Consider the following 20369-nt stretch of genomic DNA (forward strand, 5'->3'; position numbering starts at 1 on the left):
ACACACTTCGCTCTGTTTCCCAATAAGACCTGTCAAATATTACTATCAGGATTACGGTTAAATAGGTTTTTTATTTTGGGGCTATGGCCGCGTCTGGGACTGGCCAGACAACTGCTGCTGCTTCAGATTTAAAATGTAATTCATCGCATTCTGATTATGGGTGGCCATTTGTCTGTAATTAGAAAGCATGTGTATAAAATGAATAAAAATGAAAGTTGGATCACATGTTTTTACTCAGTTGCCTACCTCTTGGAATGCTTTCAAATGCCGGCATTTGTTTATTGTCTTTTATTCTGCTGGATACTTTCAATTAATCCTTCTAAATAAAGATACTAAAATTACACATTTTCATAGCACCCAACTCTGTTAGCTGAAAATTGTCATCATTTATGACATTACCAGGAAAACCACAATATAATATGATACAGTTTGCATTGTTTTAAATAGGCAGAAGCAAGATTGTATATTCTAAGATACAAAGGCTTATTTGTACCATGAAACTTCCTGTAATATCCATGCCTGAGTAGAAGAAGGTACATTTACTTTTCTATCTTCTGTTTGTATTCTTGTTTACTGCTCAGCAAATTAGAAGCAAGAAATGCATCTCAAAATTATAGCGTAGTGTCAAATATGGGAACAGTGTAATTTATCTGTGCTATTTGTGTAGTATTCAGAATGGGAGATACTTTATTTTTCTCTTGAAAAAGTGATCTTAAAGTTTCTTGGCCAATATTCAGTGAATCATGAGAGACAAAATTAATGGTGAATAGCCTTCTAGCTAGAACTTCTTGTGCAGCTGAATTATGATTCTCAGTTGCCATACGCCATACACTTAAAGGAAGTTAACATACTTCCTTTCTTTAATATTGCTCTTTGTTCTTTGGGAAAATGCCGTGAGAAAATAGAAATTACCCCTCTGGTAGTGTGTTTCAGTCTAATTCCTGACACCCTGTTCTGTTACTACCCCTTCTCCTTGCTAGCACCCTGAATTCTGCTTATCTACTAAAAGGGGGATTCCAGACAGACGAGGAAACAGCCTTCAAATGGTGCACTGCAGGCATAGCAAGCCATTCCCACACTGTGCAGTCTGGAAATCGGGGCACCTCTCTGACGATGAATTCCAATTAGTTGCTAAAGATGCCAGAGTGTGTGCACGTACAGGCTTTTTCTTTCCCCTCCCCCTTTCTTCCTTTTCCCAAGCCCCCTCTTCTCCCTGTTTCCCCTCCTACTCCTTTATCTCCTCCCTCCGTGTCTTAGTTCTGCAGTACGCGGGTTGAAGCACATTCCTGCTTTGCAAGGCTTTCTGCTAAGGATGTATTGTGGCTTTTGTTTGGATTGCAGCATGCAGAATTACAGGTAACATTCTGAAATTGAACTAAACAGTAAATTCTGTTGAAATGTTTTCAAAGAGGCAAAATATTATATTGGAATCAATGAAGAAAGTAAATTATCTTGGCTAATTTTATTAGTGGTAATTGTAGTGAAAGGTTTTCCTAAATATTATAAGCAAATTCCTTTTCTCCCCCGTCTCAAATGAAAGGAAATGGGGGTAAATTAATCTGACTGTGATTGGTTTTGTTTTATGCTGATCTTGAAAGCTTGATGTTGCTGCTGCTCCTCTATACAGTACAGATCAGTTGTGTGGGGTGCTATTGAGGGTAGCCGTGAATAGTGGTGCCAGTAGGGGTGGAGCGGGAGGGATGATGCCAGCCTGAGCTAGCCAGGTTCTTTGATTAGGGCATTGGATGTGAAATGTAAAATGCTCTCTCCTTTTCTTCTATCAGCTGTTCAGAGGAGACTCATTACAACTCCTGCTGAAGCTCCTAATCTTCTTCCCTTCTCTTCTACCCTTTCCCCCTACCCTCACTTGGCCTGAAGACGTTCTCCCCAGAGTTTACCTTGCTCCCCTGGTGCTATGTGTATGGTGAACCTGGCACTATGGCCGCGTCTGGGACTGGCCAGACAACTGCTGCTGGCTCTCCTTATTCCAGGAAGGATTTAAAGGGGAATTGCACTGCAGGCAATGCACCAGAGCAGCAGCATCAGGAGCTTGGGGAGTAAGGCTCCTCTGGCATTATTACACACATGCAAAGCTGACCGCAATGACAGCAGCTGCTTCTTTGAACTGTTGGCAGCAGCCAAGCGGCAGCATGAAGTGACAGATCACTCCTGAGCTCAAGATGAACTCCACCTTGGATGGTAATCAGAGCAGCCACCCTTTTTGCCTCTTGGCATTTGGCTATTTGGAAACTGTCAATTTTTGCCTTTTGGAAGTATTGATTATTGTCTTTCTAACTGTATTGATTATTTCTGGCAACATCATTGTGATTTTTGTATTTCACTGTGCACCTTTGTTGAACCATCACACTACAAGTTATTTTATCCAGACTATGGCATATGCTGACCTTTTTGTTGGGGTGAGCTGCGTGGTCCCTTCTTTATCACTCCTCCATCACCCCCTTCCAGTAGAGGAGTCCTTGACTTGCCAGATATTTGGTTTTGTAGTATCAGTTCTGAAGAGCGTCTCCATGGCTTCTCTGGCCTGTATCAGCATTGATAGATACATTGCCATTACTAAACCTTTAACCTATAATACTCTGGTTACACCCTGGAGACTACGCCTGTGTATTTTCCTGATTTGGCTATACTCGACCCTGGTCTTCCTGCCTTCCTTTTTCCACTGGGGCAAACCTGGATATCATGGAGATGTGTTTCAGTGGTGTGCGGAGTCCTGGCACACCGACTCCTACTTCACCCTGTTCATCGTGATGATGTTATATGCCCCAGCAGCCCTTATTGTCTGCTTCACCTATTTCAACATCTTCCGCATCTGCCAACAGCACACAAAGGATATCAGCGAAAGGCAAGCCCGCTTCAGCAGCCAGAGTGGGGAGACTGGGGAAGTGCAGGCCTGTCCTGATAAGCGCTATGCCATGGTCCTGTTTCGAATCACTAGTGTATTTTACATCCTCTGGTTGCCATATATCATCTACTTCTTGTTGGAAAGCTCCACTGGCCACAGCAACCGCTTCGCATCCTTCTTGACCACCTGGCTTGCTATTAGTAACAGTTTCTGCAACTGTGTAATTTATAGTCTCTCCAACAGTGTATTCCAAAGAGGACTAAAGCGCCTCTCAGGGGCTATGTGTACTTCTTGTGCAAGTCAGACTACAGCCAACGACCCTTACACAGTTAGAAGCAAAGGCCCTCTTAATGGATGTCATATCTGAAGTGGCTCAGTTACGGGGTTCCCGTGTGTGTGTGTGTGTGTGTGTGTGTGTGTGTGTGTGTGTGTGTATTTTATCTCTAAGTATTCCTAATTCACTAGGAAATCTGGGACAGAATACTTTGACTCTAAACAATAGCATACAAATTATTCGTATGGATACCTTCTAAGTTTGTAGAAATGGTTTTCAAAAGTGCTTGTGAATTAGAAGACTCAAGATCATGAAGACAAATTGCTCTTGCTCTCAATTTTTGAAATGTCTTGGAAATGACTACAGTTCTCAGATTTAAAATGAATAAAGCCATATCTAACACCTCTTTCCAGCTGGCATGACTGAACCTGAGTGTGAAAAGCGTCAGCATTTTAAAAAGTCATCACTTTCTTGTCACTTTCTGGGCTCTTTCCAGCTATTTGGGCTTCATATGCAATTGATTTCTTCTAACGGAATAGTAAAATATAAATGAAAAGGTTTTAGAAATTACTTTTTATGTATGCCAAAGCATAACTACACTGCAAGTTTCAACACTGTCATTTAGAAAGCCAAATGTTCTGTGTTTTATTCTCTTGAGAGAATTCTCAGTAGGGTGAATAATGTGAACACATAAACATTAATTTTAGAATTTTACAGTGAACCATGAAGCAAAAGTGCAATCAAATTATACAATTTATGAAAAACTGAGCTACTTTTTGTGCCATGCTTCACAGAGATCTAAAGATATGTGTGCGTAGAAGTAATCGTGTAGTACTTTTGCCCATGCCTTTGTGTTATGTCTATATTTAGAATATCTGAATTGTTAGATTTCTCTTTTACAGCAAAATGTGCTTAAGCTAAAAAGTAATTCAGTGATAGGCTGTTGGCTGTCCATTTTATAATGGTGACTATATACAAAAATGTGTCTTTAATATTGTCTGTTCTTTCTATTCAAAGACTTCTGAAATATTAGAACATCAGGGAGAAGGGTGTCGGTCATAAGCAACTGAGTCAGAAAGTATACCGTAGTATACAGATTGTTTTTTTAAAATACAAGGTAGTTGAGACATTTTCTTTGTGGTTAAATGGAATCAACTAGTTATTTTTGAAAAGTATTCTTTCAGTTAGTGCTAAGGAATCCACATTTGAAGAGGAGAAGGGAAAACACTTAAGTCTCTTATTGCTATTTTCTCTCTGGAAAAAAAATCCTTTGGCATACAGTTCTTAATGGTCTTTTTTTTTTTTCCTGCCAAAGTACTAGAAAAACCTATAGGATTTTATAATTCTTCTATAGAATTATTATTGAGAGTTATGTGTGTTTGTATGTAGTAGTGATGTTTGTTCTTAAAAGTGATTATCTTTAGAGCAAGAGGTTTATTTTTCTAAAAGGAGAGAAGGAATTCCGGCAGCTCCAGGCACGAGAGTATTTCCTCTACTTTTCTGCTGTTCTGGAAATGTTCTGGAAGTCTTCAAGGGACTTACTTGATCTCTGCCTTTGGCTAGAGGTTGTAATCTGAATGCGACAGTGGTGTTCAGTGAGATGGAAGATGGAAGAAACCCAGGGGACATGGGTTAAAGTGGATTTCTGAATCCAAGAAAGGACATGGATATTTATAAAGCAGGCAGATAAGCTTTGGTTTTCCATCATGATGCCAGTGTTCTTATGATTTTAGGCTTTAGACATCAACTTGATTTTAACCTCAGTTGTGTTCTATTTAAACTTTTTTATTTTAAGTGACTAAGCATTACATAAACATTCAAACTTCAGATTCTGGGTTTTTCCCAAAACCTTGCTTGCTCTTTATGTTTAGTGTTAGCAAATTTTATTCTAAGCTGCTTCAAAATTTAGAACTCATACTGAAATTGCAAGTTATGTTAGAAATGGCTTGGTTAAATTGCCATTTCAAATGGGAAACCTTTTCTGTTAGATTCTGAAAAATGGTTGTATTGTATACATTTTCCCTTTAAGTGGTACAGATCTAAAAAACCAAAATTTACCTTTTTTCATACATGTTAGAGAATGTAACCTGTTCACATTTGCAGTTTGCTTATGAATTTTTAGTTTAGAAAATATGGCAATTTTAAACACTTAATTTTTGTTGAAAAATTGATATTAAATCAGCAGGTTTGATCTTATTTTGTTGTGTGTGTATGTGTTGGGAGAGAGGAGATGCTCCTGGACACAGTAGTGTCCCCTTTAGTGGCTGGGGGTGTTTTCTGTGTGATATATTTGGAAAGTTCATGTTTAACTGAACTTTTCATCCTGGCATATTTAATGCAACATTTGATGACATTTAGTTTAAATACCAGTCTGACTTCAAAAAAAATGTATTTTTAGATTCAGTTACCATGGCGTTGGCGGGATAGCTCATTTAACTTTATATGGCATGTGACTGGTATCAGAGGAAACATATACTTTTGGTGATTATGTTGAAATTATTTCATAGTAAATTTTAAAGTAGGATTATACTGATGTTATATTTGTAAACTAGTTGTATTTTTTAATGCAGTGATTTCAGTGAAAGTGGTTTTTTCCCCCTTCTTAGAGTAGAAAAGCAATTACAAATGGACTAGTGTGCTCAACTTTAGTGAGAGCATTATCCTGACACTAGATTGGATATTTGCGTTTTTTTCACGGGCCTATTGACTCTTACTCAAAATTCCATTTTGGAAAAGGTTTTCTTTAAGCTTTATTGCTGGATAAATTCTTTTCAAGCCTTTTATAATGGCTTTTACTTTTTACTTGAATAATGGTCTCAGTATTTTAAGGATTGGGAAAACTTGAATTTTTTTTTACCGTAAATGCATTGCCCACCTCCTTGAACTTGAAAATGAAGCAGCAGGGTTAGACTCCCAGATGGCCCAGATGGTGGAGTGGTTTCTAGGAGGGTTTCCTCAGCTTTTCAGGTTTGTTTGAAAAATCTGCATGTTGACTTGGTATAGGAATTGTTTTAATTTCACTGAGTATGTTTTTGTTTCATAGTTGTTGGTGAAATTACCAGCAAGCCAAAATGTATTGTTACATGAGCAAATTTTGGGAAATTTAAGAATGGGAAAACTGTGGCATTGAGATTTTTTGAAGTCCTCATAAATCATTTTGTGTGTTGACTTTTGTGTAATTTTTTTCATTTCAGGTTGAAGAAAAAAATATTAAGTATTTATATTAAATTTATATATTATTAATATTATGTTGCAGACCTTGGAAATATTGTAGACATTTCTTATGGCTGTAAACGAGTCATTTGGCCTTTCTTCAAAATTTGCATGACAAAAGGGCATCATATAGTAAAAATGAAGTTGGAACTGAGAATAAAAAAATGTAGGCTTCTGTTTCTAATTAAGTAGTTTTGTAAATGAGGGCAAGTCACTTCTCTAAATGCTTAATTTCTCCTAGAAGGAAATATTGATCCCTTCATACCTCATAGGGTTAGTTTGGGGCTTGCGTTAGATAATAGATGTGAAAGTACTTTGTAAATTGTAAAGTGCTTTGCAAATAAAAATCATTACTGTTATTTGTATCTGCCATTCTTCTACATGTAAGGAAGCCATACATCATGATGTGTTCCCCCACACTTTGATCTTTGAAGCTCAATGCTACACCACTACTCTGTGCTACTTAGCAATCCCAGACTTGAGAAGAGAAGCAAAATAAATGCTCATCCTCCTAAAATGACAGTAGCCTTGAATTCAACATAAAATTGCTTTGATTTACTTCCTTCACTTGTCATCAAACTCTCTGAAGGCAAGGGACAGTGTCTCTTATCTGTCTGGTTAATATCTTTATCCCCACAATCTGACCTAGGACCTGGCTCAGAGCAGAAGTTTTAGTAAGTTTTATAGAATGAATAAATGACTCTGTAATTATTGCATGTAGTCACACCAGCCTTCTCCCTTCTGTAAGGTATTATAGGGCAGTGATGTTTGAAAGGTAGTCCAGAGCCTCATAAGCAACCTTCCATTTGGTCTAGGTTATTCTAGATTTTAAATAATAAATAATATCTCTTTTTGGTATCAAGAGATTAATGTGGTAATGTGAGTCCTCTATATACTTAGATAACTTTGCTTCTGGAAACTCTGTAGCTTCGGCCCAGAGAACTTCAGGCAGTGCTTTCAAATTGCCAGTTTTTCACAGAATGGATTAGGAAATATGTAGTTGGATCACACCTTCTTGGCTCTGGATCCAGATAAAGCTCTGTAAAACTGGTCACAAGGCCAAAGGAACTATAGAAAGCCTTGATGAAAGAAACTTCCTATGTGGTTTTGCTTTTGTCTCCCTTTCAGCCTTTCCCAGTTTTCTAGCTCTGTCTTTCCTTCTTCCTTCCTTTTCTTACCACACTATTGGTCATGTATCCAGAAAGAAGTATTTCCTTGATACTGCCATAGGGTATGGAAAATTGTATTATGTAAGAGCAGTGGCTTTTAGGGAAAGTTTAAGCAATCAAGAAGCACTTATCTAGTAAGTTCTGCTGTGTGCCAGGTAGTATAACTAGCCTCAGAGAGGGATCAAAGAAGGATCATTCCTTTCTTGTAGAACTATATAGTCTTTAGGTGTTTCTTGTGGAAAAATTCTGTGATTATCTGTCTTCCAGGAAGCCTCACTGTTCTCTACTTTATCTGGAAGAATGTACCAAGGCTTCCTGGTGGGCCACCCCCACAGCACTGTTTTTTGTGGGGTACAATCATATGATGCTGGTGTATAAAATCATGTCACTTTATTAGTTTAAGAAGTAGATGCTGGTAATTGAGAGCAGTCTTCTCTATTAGCAGATATTTATGGGAAGCCAAACTGTATTCAGAAGCTTGCTTGGTGGGAATGGAATCTCAGAACATGGTTCTGTAATGTGAACATTATTGAGATCATAGTAAAAGGTGAAATCATCCCTGCTTCCATTATTGGCTAACCTACCTTCTCATTGACATATTACGGTATTTCTTTAGTTCAATTAACTTCTGTTACTTGTCTTTTAGTCAGATTCTTTGCAAGTCTTAGTAGTCTGCAAGCCTGCAACTCATTCTTTCTCTTTAAGGTGCTTTTTATATCCCCAGCCCTATCTTTTATCATAAAACATACTAGTTTTATGATTTTTTTATTATTCAAAACACATCTTTGTTTTTTACGTTAGTTTGAGGGAGCCGCTCATCTTAGTTTTCATGTAGTTCCTAGTTAGAAAAGCAAAATACATGAAACTACCTATAAAAATTAATAGCATCAGATAATTAGGGATGTGATATTAATGTCAGATAATGTCTAGCAAAGGAGGCAGGGAGAGGCAGATGAGTTGGAAAGGACCTTAGGAATCATTTGGTCTGATTCTGTTATTTTGCAGAGGAGAAACCAGCCCAGTGGCCACTGGGTTATCTATTTATGGTAATACCCAGACTTCATGCTTCCTAATCCGTTGCTCTTTTGTAGTATATCATATTGCTTTTGCAGAGGAGTTGGAATTTGACTTGACTCAGCCATGCCATGGGGTGGGCACATGTGTATGTGTGTAATTCTAAGGGTAAGAAGTATGAGCAATAATATAAATGTTAATTGAGACTCTTTATGTTTCAGGAGAATTTTATAAACTTTATGTTAATACTTCCAACACTGTAAGAGCTAGTGACTGTTATTAACCCCATTATACAGATGAAACAGATTTTGAGGTGCCAGAGTCAGACAGCTTATAAGTGGAAGATCTGGGATTCAAATCTAGGACTTCTGACTCCAAAGCCTATGTTCTTGCCTTAATTTTTTCTTATATTCTACATTTAATTTTCACAGCAACCTATCAGGTAGTTATTTTGAATTTTCCTATTTTATAGGTGAGGAAACATAGGCTTAGAGAGGTTAAGAAGCTTCTAAGGTTACATACATAGTAAGTGTTATGATTCAAATCCAATTCTTTGACTCTAAAGCTTGTGTTCTGTACCATTATGTAAGCCTAGGCTTTAGAAACATGACAGACCTCCTGCTAAATGTAGCAGATTGAATATGCATATTTCTGTTAACTCCACTATAAAGAATAGCAAAGGTATAATATGGATAAAAAGAAGGAGAACAGAGATGATGACAGACAGTGATGCCAGCAGAATTTTGGAATATGGAAATTCAGTGGACGAGTAGTAACTGACTCAGCGGAATCAACAGAGCTGCTTTCTAAAGTCAAATGAGGAAGAGGAGCAAAAAGAAACAGCCTGATTTGTCTATTGACCACAGTAACTACTTGGGAATTGGATTGCTAAGATGTCCCTATAAGCATAGAGACTAAAAAACAAGAATTGATAGAAGCTGAAAAACAGAGTAATTGATAGAAAGTTTATATAAGGAATATTTAGACATCATCACCCCTTACTCCTCTTCCCCATCCCACCTGAATCCCCATCCCACCTGAATCCCCATCCCAAGCAGGCAACTGGTTTTCACCATTGCAGCAGAAGGTGGGAGATTTACTCTTTGGAAAAGCTGAACCACTCTAGATGCCAGGCATAGCTGAGAATGGAACTAAAGGTGTGCTTTGTTGCAAACATGACTGCTGTAAGAAAGTCTGTGTGTTAAATAATCAGCCCCCTTACCACACTACACTCTCAGAATGTTCTAAGCAGGATATGAGAGGAGTGTATTCTCGGGGCTGACATTTGAGGGCTCAGAAACAAAATAGCCACATTCCCTGCCTGGTCACTTTAAGGTGATGCCCATCAATCAACACATCCCACCCATGCACACAGAGCTCACAGTTTTTTATTGCTTCACTTTTAATATTAACAGACAGCCAGAGATAATTGCACTTTTGAGAAAAAGTTCTCACATAAAGTACAGAGCCCAAAACAATCAAGCAAATGACAGAAATCAGAAGAAACAGAAAGAATATAGGTTGCTGAAGAAAACAACCAAAAAACCCAACTGTAACTAACATTCTCAGAGAAGATTTTGTATCCATTAAAGCAGGGGAGAACAGAGTGCAGTAAAAATGAATAGGAAGAGAACAAGAAAGAACTCTTGCAATTTAAAGTATAATAATTTTTTTGTTTGTTTCAGTAAGCAGGCTAGAAAATGAAGTAGGTCAGATAGTGAAACAAAAAGGCAGAGAGACAGAAAATAGATGAAAAAGCAAAACAGTCGGAGGTTTAATCAGGGAACCCAATAGCTGACTAACAGAATCTTCAGAAACAGAATAGAGGAAAAGAAAGGAAGAAATTAATAAATATCACAAGAAAATTTTCCAGTGCTGAAAGATACGTGTTTTCATAATGAAAAGGCCCATTTCAGTGTAATAAAAAGATTCACATGATGGCAAATTGTTATAAAATTTCAGAACAATGGGGATAAAAATTCCTAAAAGCTTCTTGAATGGGGTGGGGCATGGATGGTGGAGTCTAAACATACAAAGTATAGGGATTTGAGTAGCAGAGGACTTTTTGCCACAATAAAGCTAGAAGATAATGGGTAATAGCTTCAGAATTTTGAGGAGAAGTGATTTCCAACCCACAATTTTATGCCCAAACTGTCATTCAAGTGTGAGGGTAAACTAAACTCATTTTGAGGTCTGCAAAATCACAAAATATTCACCTGCCTTAACGTACTTTCTCGGGAAGTTACTGAAGGATATGCTTCTCCAGAATGAGGGAGGAAATAAATAAAGAGATACAGAATCCAGGAAACAGGGTCTCTGACACAGGAGGATGGTGAAAACAATTCCCACAGGAAGGAAAGCTCTACGAAAGCAACTATGCAGGAGACCTAGAGAGCAGCCAGTCTAAATAGGAGCAGGAACAAAGAAGGCACTAGGAGGTATGTCTCTAGGAAAATATAGTTGGGATTTTCACCATGGTGAGAAGAATTTAGTTTTGTGAGATTTTTAGGGGAAGAATTGGTGATAGATACATAGAAAACCAAGGAAAAGAAAAAGATAGGCAATTAATAACTTCAGAAAAAAATAGAAAATTGAAGAAAGGAAATAAGATCATGACATACTCTGATTCAGTTATGTGTTGCTGTGTATAGTTTGGTGTTTAGCCAAAAATGATAGCAACACTGTTGACAGGGTGAGGGGAAGGGAAGTGTTTGGGGGGTGAGGGGAAGGAGGGTGGGTGTAACAGAGCTACAGTAGCATCTTCCATAGTGTAAACTCTGAAACTGATGTCTAAAGTGGAAAAACCCAGAAAATAGCAACTTAAGCATTTTATTCAGAAGTATGAATTAAAAACAAACAGCTTTAAAAAAAGGAGAGGTGAAAATGGTTGCCTCTAAGGAATAGGGTATGAAGAGTGAAGGGAATTTCATTGTAAGCTTTGTACTGTTTGACCTTTTCACTTACGTAGGTGTATTATTTTCTTTTTTTTTTTTTTTTTTGAGACGGAGTCTCACTCAGTCACCCAGGCTGGAGTGCAATGGCGCGATCTCGGCTCACTGCAAGCTCCGCCTCCCGGGTTCAGGCCATTCTCCTGCCTCAGCCTCCCGAGTAGCTGGGACTACAGGCGCCCACCACCATGCATGGCTAGTTTTTTTTTGTATTTTTAGTAGAGACGGGGTTTCACCATGTTATCCAGGATGGTCTCGATCTTCTGACCTCGTGATCCGCCCATCTCGGCCTCCCAAAGTGGTAGGATTACAGGCGTGAGCCACCGCGCCCAGCCAGGTGTATTATTTTCTATGAAAAGTGTAGACCACATTTAGGAAAAGAGATGTATTTTAACAGAAGTAAAGGGAAATCGGGAAGGAGGCCCAGGTATAGAACATTACTGAAATAGTAAATGGGGGCATAATAGCACTATTTTACCTATGGTTCTTTACAAAGCCATTTCCTATTAATTGTCTCATTTAATCCCCCTAGAAGTATAGGCAAAGTTAATATTGTCCCTCTTTTCCAATTATGGGAATGGAGTTTTGGGTCTTTAAGACCTTTTTGGTTTCCAGTCTGCTGTATCACTACGCCTCCATAGGTGTCTGTTTGGAACTTTTCAGATTTTGTAATTTTGTTTTTTACCAAGAGAAGACAGAAGGTGCTGGAATGCATCCTTCTTTGACATCGTGGGAAGGAATATAGGAAAACACACGTACGTGTGTGTGTGTGTGTGTGTGTGTGTGTATGTGTATGTATATGAGTATGTGTGCTGGTACATGAGTATAATACAAGACATGGTATTGTGAAATGATGAGAGGAATGCAAAATGCCATGTAGTGTTCAAAGGCAAGGAGGTGCCTGTTAAATAGATTTCCTTAGAAGGCAGTGTGAGAGATGGGCTAGGCTCAGGGTGGAGTAGAATTCCTATAGTCTGATTCCTCTCCTCACCCCAGACCCCCTCCTTGAATGAGATTTCGTAAAGTATCCAGCTGGACAGAATTAAAGGAACCCAAAGGATCAACAGACTAAAGACTGTAATGAAGTGATCTACAATTTAACAAACAATATATGACATGAGAAAGCCCTTTGCAAATTAAAAAACCTATCTTTACAAGAAATTATTATGATTGTAGTTACTTAATGAAAGATTTGTTGGCTTGTTACAAAACGACTGAATTAGCTTTGAGCAAAATATAAAAGTAATCATATTTTCAAAGTAAAGTTTTAAATTCTGTCTATCAGCTTTCAGCAAATACTTACTGAGTTGAATTGTTAAGGCAATATTTTGGGGAGAAAGACAAAAGTTATAGCATTTAAATAGCATTATTTATTTTGAAAATTTCTTCCAGAAAAACGGAGGAAACCTCAACTGCCAAAGCCATTTATTTTTAGCTAGACGAAAAAATAAAGTTTAAGAAGGCCATTTGTGGGTCTCTTGTCTTTATTGCCTCTGGGGAACTGAATCAGACTAAAGCCTTTTTTCATTTATAAAAGTTCCCCTTCTTCGTGGTATGTATTCGTAGGAATCTAAGTCATTCCTACTTAAGTTTTGTTAACATTATATATCATTAACATCATTTTATAATACTGAGGATGTGTATTGTAGCCTATAGAACACTGGAAATAAAGTTAAAACAAAATGTAGATCCTAGTTCTGGCAGTTAATTAGGTAATCTTAATCTGTCTGAATGTTAGAAGGATCTTCATCTTTGAATGAAGATGACAGCAGTATTATAGGAGTTGGTTTAAGATCAGTTGCATATTATGTTAATAGTAAGGCTTTTAAAGTTGTCACTGTGATTACTTCGTACTCTTGGATCATTTTTTTCCTCTGAGATAAAGAGGAAGGTAGTGAAAAGAGCATGGATTTTTGGAGTCTTTGGCCCTTGGTTTTCTACTCTGCAAAATGGGATAATACTACCTCATTAGAATTATTGTGAAAATTAGGTACTATCACATCTAAAGTATGTAAAATTGTACTTGGGGGCATTGTAGGAACTCAGTAAAAGATTTCAGCTATTATTTCTTTGCCACACAGAGGTCAGATTCTTCCAATGACTTCCAGGTCCTGCAAATTGGCACATACCATCAGAGGAAAGGCCTTGGGTGAATGTGGAGTGGCCTGGTGTGCTTCCTTCTCTCAGGGATGGTAAATCCCTTAAGTACTGCCTTGATAGTTAGCTCCAGTTCTTCAACTGATGTTTTATGTATTTTGTCCTGCTTTTGTAATACATTTTGCAGTAGGGTTAGTCCTATACAAATCTCGGACATTAGGATACACATACAATACTTGGATGTACTTCATCAAGGGAATAATAAGTCATTGGGGTTTACGGTAAGAATTTTAAATACTTCAGGAGGTGGAAAGGAAATTTGAGGCTGAAGCGGTAAAGAGGGGTCACTTTAACCAAACTTTAAAAATGAGTTGGTCTTATGCAGAAAATACAATTTTGGCAGCTCCTATTTTAAGCTTAAAAGGCCTGATGAAGGGGGGCTGTTTATATACTTAAGGAATAAGGAGACTGTGTAATGTGTAGTGGCCAAAAGTATGTGCTTGAGAGGCAGACAGACCTGGGTTTGAATCCTAGCCCTGCCACTTACTAGCTGTGAGACCTGGGGCAAAGTACATAATCGTTCTAAGTCTCAGTTGTCTTAACTAATGACACTGTCTCATGTGAGTATTGTAAAGATTAAATGAGCTAATGCATGTAAAGCTCTTAGCGTAGTGCTTGGCATGCAGTAAGCACTCAGTACATGTTAGCTGGTACAGCTGTCTTGTGAATAGGGTAGTATGGATGAAGCAGAAGTTTTAAGTTGAGATATAAGGGAGAATAAATTCAGAAAGATAAACTAGTGATAGCTGGTCTGGAATACATGGCTAAGGGATTTAATTCTATTTAGGAATTGGAGGTAGACTTAAGACTTCTGAGAAAATGAATGACATAAATATAGAATCCTTAAGTGACAGAGCTTAGAAGATCCCTTAGCAGACATAATCTGGACTCCTACTTTCACAAACAGGGAAAGAGAGACCCAGAATAGTGACAGAGTTAATTATTTGCAGAACTAGGACTAGAATCCAGGTATTAAACCTCCTTTAGACTCAGTCATTCCACTAGAATAAGTCCAAAGGGTTATTCAACATTTGTCAAGTGCTTAGAAAATAGGAGTTTTCAGCAGGTTTGGAAAAAAAGGAAACAACTGTTCAGAGTTTGGTTTGTGTTAAGTAAAATCAAAGAATTGTCTTTCCATTGGTACTTTCAGCCAAACGAGTTAAGATTTTCTTTCAGTACTAATCAAAATGTTCTCTTGATCACTAGTAACAACCTCAGAAATGTTTGTTCGAGGAGGTAAAAAATAAATGGGTATTTCTAGAATTCTTTCATTGGTATTTATAATTGTACTGCTAGTGAGTTTGAAGGGTAAAGTTTTTGCTTAAATAAAATGGAAGATCATAAGTTGTCTAGTAACTTTTAAAGTAGCTGTTTTCCAAGAATTTTAAATATGAAAATATAAAAAGTTTAATTCTAGGAGAGTCCTTTAAGGCATTACTACATAGATACTAATATACTTTGCTTGGGATTATTTCCTATGTGCTGATAAGTTTTAAGTTTTTTAGTTAATAGAAAAAGATCTGGTTTACTTATAGCTTTATACTTCTAAAATAAGATAGCTTTTAAGTATTGTTTTTTGATACTTATTAAGATTCTTCCATAGAAAAATTAAAATCTTCAATATGATTTTTCTTATATGTTGAGCTCAAGAAAATATTTTTGCCTAAAAGCTTTATAAAAATTCAAAATTAAAATAAAGGTTGAAACCTCAGAATATATACCTGTAGCCTTTGAATATGGGTGTGAATGCAGACCTCTTACGGAATTCTTAATGCAGTGCAGCAGTTCACTGATGGAGCTGTTACATGACTGGTATCATTCAAACACAGATTTTCATTTAATATTTGTTAATTGTTATAAGAGCAAAAATATCTAGCCATTTTACAGCTGCTGGGTTTTTTTTTTTTTTTTTTTTTTTTTTTTTTTTTTTTGAGACGGAGTCTTGCTCTTGCTGCCCAGGCTGGAGTGCAATGGCGCGATCTCGGCCCACTGCGAACCTCCGCCTCCCAGGTTCAAGCGATTCTCCTGCCTTAGCCTCCTGAGAAGCCGGGATTACAGGTGTGCATCACCACGCCCAGCTAATTTTGTATTTTTAGTAGAGATGGGGTTTCACCATGTTGGCCAGGCTGGTCTCGAACTCCTGACCTCAGGTGATCCGTCCATCTTGGCCTCCCAAAGTGTTAGGATTACAGGCGTGAGCCATCATGCCCAATCAACTGCTGTATATTTTTGCTACTCAATAGACACATTTAAATCTCTGATTTGTGACTTATTTCAGAAGAGAAGCTAACTTTGTAAAGTAAAACTGAGTATTTGTTAGCATTTTGAAGCATTTATAAGCATTTTCTTGGAAATAATCCATTGATTCGATTATTTAAAAATATAACTTGAGCAATATGAGACTTGGTCCTCTGTGTGTCTGTGTGTTGCATGTTATTAGTAGGTGATTTTGAGAAGATTTTATCCATAGCATACAACGCTTTACAAAATCTTTAAACAAATAGTACAAGTCAAACAATACAGTACGTATTAAGCTGTACTAAGAGAGCATTTGATATGCAGTTTACTTGGTAATAATACAATGAAATAAGTATTTGGAAGTTCATCACAGTTATCAGAAACATTTGTTTGGAATATGACTTTGCATATAATAATTTTATGTCTTAGTTCACCCATAAATTACCTTCCCCCTTTGACTATCACCACCTCTTAAATCAAAATGATATTTTGTGTGTTCACTTTTGTCAGGTAACAGTACTTGAGTATTTCCTGCTTCTTGGGCCTCTCCATGATGGATTGCTGTGAAGGAGAATCAACAATAGCAAACCAGGAAAAGGTTGACAGTGCAGTTAGCATTTATGTCTTATTTATACATGATTTGGGACCGTTTTGCCAAACATTGAATAATTTTCCTGTGGGAAACTTGAGCCCTAAAAGGAAATGAACATAGCTAAAAGGCTGCATATCACATGGGACTTAGATTTATTTTTAGAATGGCACTATAATGCCATATTTGGATTGAAACAATGTGATAGCAGTAAAATATTTCATTAAATAAAGAGCCATCTTTTCTGAGGAAGTCATCTGCTTTTCTATTTCAACGTGTGGTATAGATTGAACATAATACTTATATAATCATTCAGCTAATATAATTCTAAAGTATATGTTAAAGGAGCTTATTTGGCAAACATTTCTAGAGCCAGCTTATTGAGTCTGGTGTAGTAAAGGTTCTGTGACAGTTCAATGATTACAGCATATGGTGTTTTTTGTTGTTGTTGTTGTTGTTGTTTTGTGTGTTTGGAGTAAGTTGTTTGGAGGGGAAAAGAGTAAAGGGAGTAGAGTCATTTGGAATGTTTATATTATTTTTCTTGAAATGGATGAACTCCTTACTAAATTAGACAACGATAATAGAGAAACCTAGATGGATTTTTGCTTCTGAGAAATGATTTTGGAAGAAAAAAGATAATCAGCAAAGGTATTTAATATTGAGCTCTACAGTGTTTTCATTAGTATGGTTCATAGGCTAAAAAACAAAATACTCTTATTGTATCACTTATGTTTCAAGTATCAGTTTTTCTGCCACCTGATTTCTTTATAATTTCATTTGGTTTAAATGTGATGTTCATAACATTCAGGAGATTTCTGAACTGTATACTGTCTAATTGCAGATCCCCGACAGGGCACTAAGTCCCAAACAGGAAAACTTGCCAAATACAGATTTTGTCCCTTGGCTTCTCTCCCAAGGTGGGAAATATGCCAGCATCATAAATCTCAAGTCTGTTGAGAAAGAGCTACCGCTGATATACCAGGCCTTAAGCCACCAGCTTTCCATGCAGTATTTCATTTGCTTCTCATAAACTGTGAGGCAGGGACCATTGCATAGATTTTATAGATAGGTTTGTTAAGGTTCAGATTAGTTAAATGACTTGCCCAAGGTCACACAAATTAGTAAGTGGGAGAGGCAGTACCCAGAGACAGAACAGCCTGGCCCTAGACTTTGTGTTCTGTTGGTTGCATTGTGATCTAAGTAGAGCACCTAAAGTCCATCGTCTGCATTCTTTGTCAAAAGTCCAACTCCAGTCTCCACACAATTATGACCAGATTCTGAAATGCCTTTAGTTACCTCCATGTTCATGGGTATCTAATTCCAGTCTGCTCTGTGTGATGTGTTGGAGCTTTGGAGTAGAAATTTTAAAGCATTAATTACTGAATACCTAAACAATATGTCATGTATTTAAATGTATAGAGATCAGTTTACTATTTCTTTTTGGTCCAGGTTTTGAATTGTTATTGTTAATCAGTGGCAGTTTTACTGCAAGTATGGTTTTTGCCTTCAAGAGCAAATCACCAGGGTAAATACACAAAGCAATATCTACACACAAATCCAACTTCCACTAAAATCCCTGCTGTTGCACTGGTGTGGAAGAACAGCATCACAGCACAGAGAGGTCCCATGGTTCCTAGTTGAAAATACTGACTTAAAGGGCAGTGTTGCTAGTCATGTAGGGACAAGTAAAAATGTGTTTGTTTTATATAATTACATTCTTCAGAGCTAAATTAAGATGAAGATGTTTTTGTATTGTCAGTGTTAAGTGAGCCCACCAATCGATACCTATTTCTATAATTCTTACTGATTTGACTATGTAATTGACTTTGAGAGGCTTTAATTTGTTTGATACAAATATACTATAATTCCTATTACTGATATACAGGCTATGAGGTCCTGTATTATGTAAGATTGAGCTGCAGATTTGATTCCGAGCCTCCTGAAGGCCGAAGCAAAAATGAACATTGGATCATTTCCATGGGGAAAAATATGTATAATTTTTTAGGAGAAACTGTTTTTTGATGGGGACACTGAGTAAAGTGGTAGATGTCCTCACCACCATGAAATACAAAGTTTCAATAGCAGGGTTTTTTTTGTTTGTTTGTTTTCTTTTTTTTGACAGGGTCTTAGAACATGCTAATACCACAACTTAGTGAAGGTAGTTATGTGAAAGGCCAGGATATTGTGATCTAAAAATATATCTATCTGGTGGTCAGCCTTGAAGAAAAAAACTCAGAACATTGAAAAGAATACTCAATTTTTTTTTTTTTTTTAGGATCTGAAATGGTTAAGATACATGCCCCCAGCATTCAGCGACTGTGCCTTTTCTTTGAGGAGCCACATGTTGTGATTTTATTCACCTTGGTTTTTTTTTTTTTTTTTTTTTTTTTTTTTTTTTTTTTTTTTTTTTTTTGAGACGGAGTTTCACTCTTACTGCCCAGGCTGGAGTGCAATGGCGCGATCTTGGCCCACTGCAACCTCCGCCTCCCAGGTTTAAGGGCTTCTCCTGCCTCAGCCTTCTGAGTTGCTGGGATTACAGGCATGTGCCACCACGGCTGGCTAATTTTGTATTTTTAGTAGAGATGGGGTTTCTCCACGTTGATCAGACTGGTCTCGAACTCCCGACCTTAGGTGATCTGCCCGCCTCGACCTCCCAAAGTGCTGGGATTACAGGCATGAGCCACCACGCCTGGCCTCACCTTGGTTTTATGTTTAAGAGTGTCATATATTTCTCTGGCTACATGTTACTAGGGCCTTTAGTTATTTCTGTTTTTCATAAACACTGAGCAGCCTTCATACAAGCAAGCATGTTCAAATGAGTAAAAAGGAAAGCTTATTTTCAAAGTCTGTGTCATACCAATTTTAGTTATAAGAGTCTAGAAGAGAAAAGCTATTTTATTTTATTTTATTTTATTTTATTTTATTTTATTTTATTTTATTTTATTATTATCTTTTTATGAGACGGAGCCTTGCTCTGTCATCCAGGATGGAGTGCAGTGGCGCAGTCTTGGCTCACTGCAAGCTCCGCCTCCTGGGTTCATGCCATTCTCCTGCCTCAGCCTCCTGAGTAGCTGGGACTACAGGCACCTGCCACCACGCCCGGCTAATTTTTTTTTTTTTTTTTTTTGTATTATTCGTAGGGACGGAGTTTCACCGTATTAGCCAGAATGGTCTCGATCTCCTCACCTTGTGATCTGCCCATGTCGACCTCCCAAAGTACTGGGATTACAGGCGTGAGCCACCACACCCAGCCACAAGAAAAGCATTTTAAAAAATATATTAGAAATTATAACTCCAACTCAATACTGATAAGAGAATATTTTCACTTTTACAATATGTTCATTTGGATTAAGAAGGTGAGCTAGGAAGCCAGACCAGCTGGGTTCCAGACCTAGCTTCCCACTTTCTAGCCAAGTGATTTAACATTTTTCCTCATTTGTCAAGTGGGGGAGATAATAGAACCCACCTCAAAAGGTTGTTAAGATAGACCTACATGTTGTTACTTAAATAATTATTTTTAGGTCTGTGAAAGTACAGCTGGCAATAGAAAATTTCTTTTAGATCTTTTAGATAAGTGGCTCTGAACCTTATTATGTGTCATACATCCTTTTGAGAATTAATTTATTCAGTAAGTTTTTATCGGGTGCCTACTTTGTGTCAGATACTCTTCTCTGGGCTTAGAGATATACGTGAACAAAACAGAAATCTCTGTCTTCATGAAGCTTAACATTCTAGTGAATATGTTTAAAACCCTGAGCACTCGTCTGAGAAAAATGTGCACAAAACTTTGCATACAGGCTGGGTGCGGTGGCCCACGCCTGTAATCCCAGCACTTTGGGAGGCTGAGGTGAGCAGATCACTTGAGGCTAGGAGTTCGAGACCAGCCTGGCCAACATGGCGAAAC

At 37.5% G+C, this 20369-nt stretch overlaps 2 protein-coding genes across 14 annotated transcripts in view; both read left to right on the forward strand.

Moving 5' to 3' along the window:
* Positions 1-20369, forward strand: part of RABGAP1 (RAB GTPase activating protein 1) — a 173196-nt gene that overhangs the window by 100716 nt on the left and 52111 nt on the right. The gene's annotated exons all lie outside the window — the stretch shown is intronic.
* GPR21 (G protein-coupled receptor 21) lies at positions 1281-16717 on the forward strand. Of its 2 annotated transcripts, none has more exons than XM_005251933.5 (2): positions 1281-1356; positions 1879-16717. In XM_005251933.5, the coding sequence occupies exon 2, from the start codon at positions 2181-2183 to the stop codon at positions 3228-3230; it is 1050 nt and encodes a 349-aa protein (XP_005251990.1). In that variant the 5' UTR covers positions 1281-1356; positions 1879-2180; the 3' UTR covers positions 3231-16717. The 2 variants fall into 2 exon arrangements, with proteins under 2 accessions (XP_005251990.1, NP_005285.1); NM_005294.3 differs by having other exon boundaries at positions 1785-3279.

The sequence above is a fragment of the Homo sapiens genome, chromosome 9 (genome assembly GCF_000001405.40).
Source record: "Homo sapiens chromosome 9, GRCh38.p14 Primary Assembly".
NCBI classification, from domain to species: domain Eukaryota; kingdom Metazoa; phylum Chordata; class Mammalia; order Primates; family Hominidae; genus Homo; species Homo sapiens.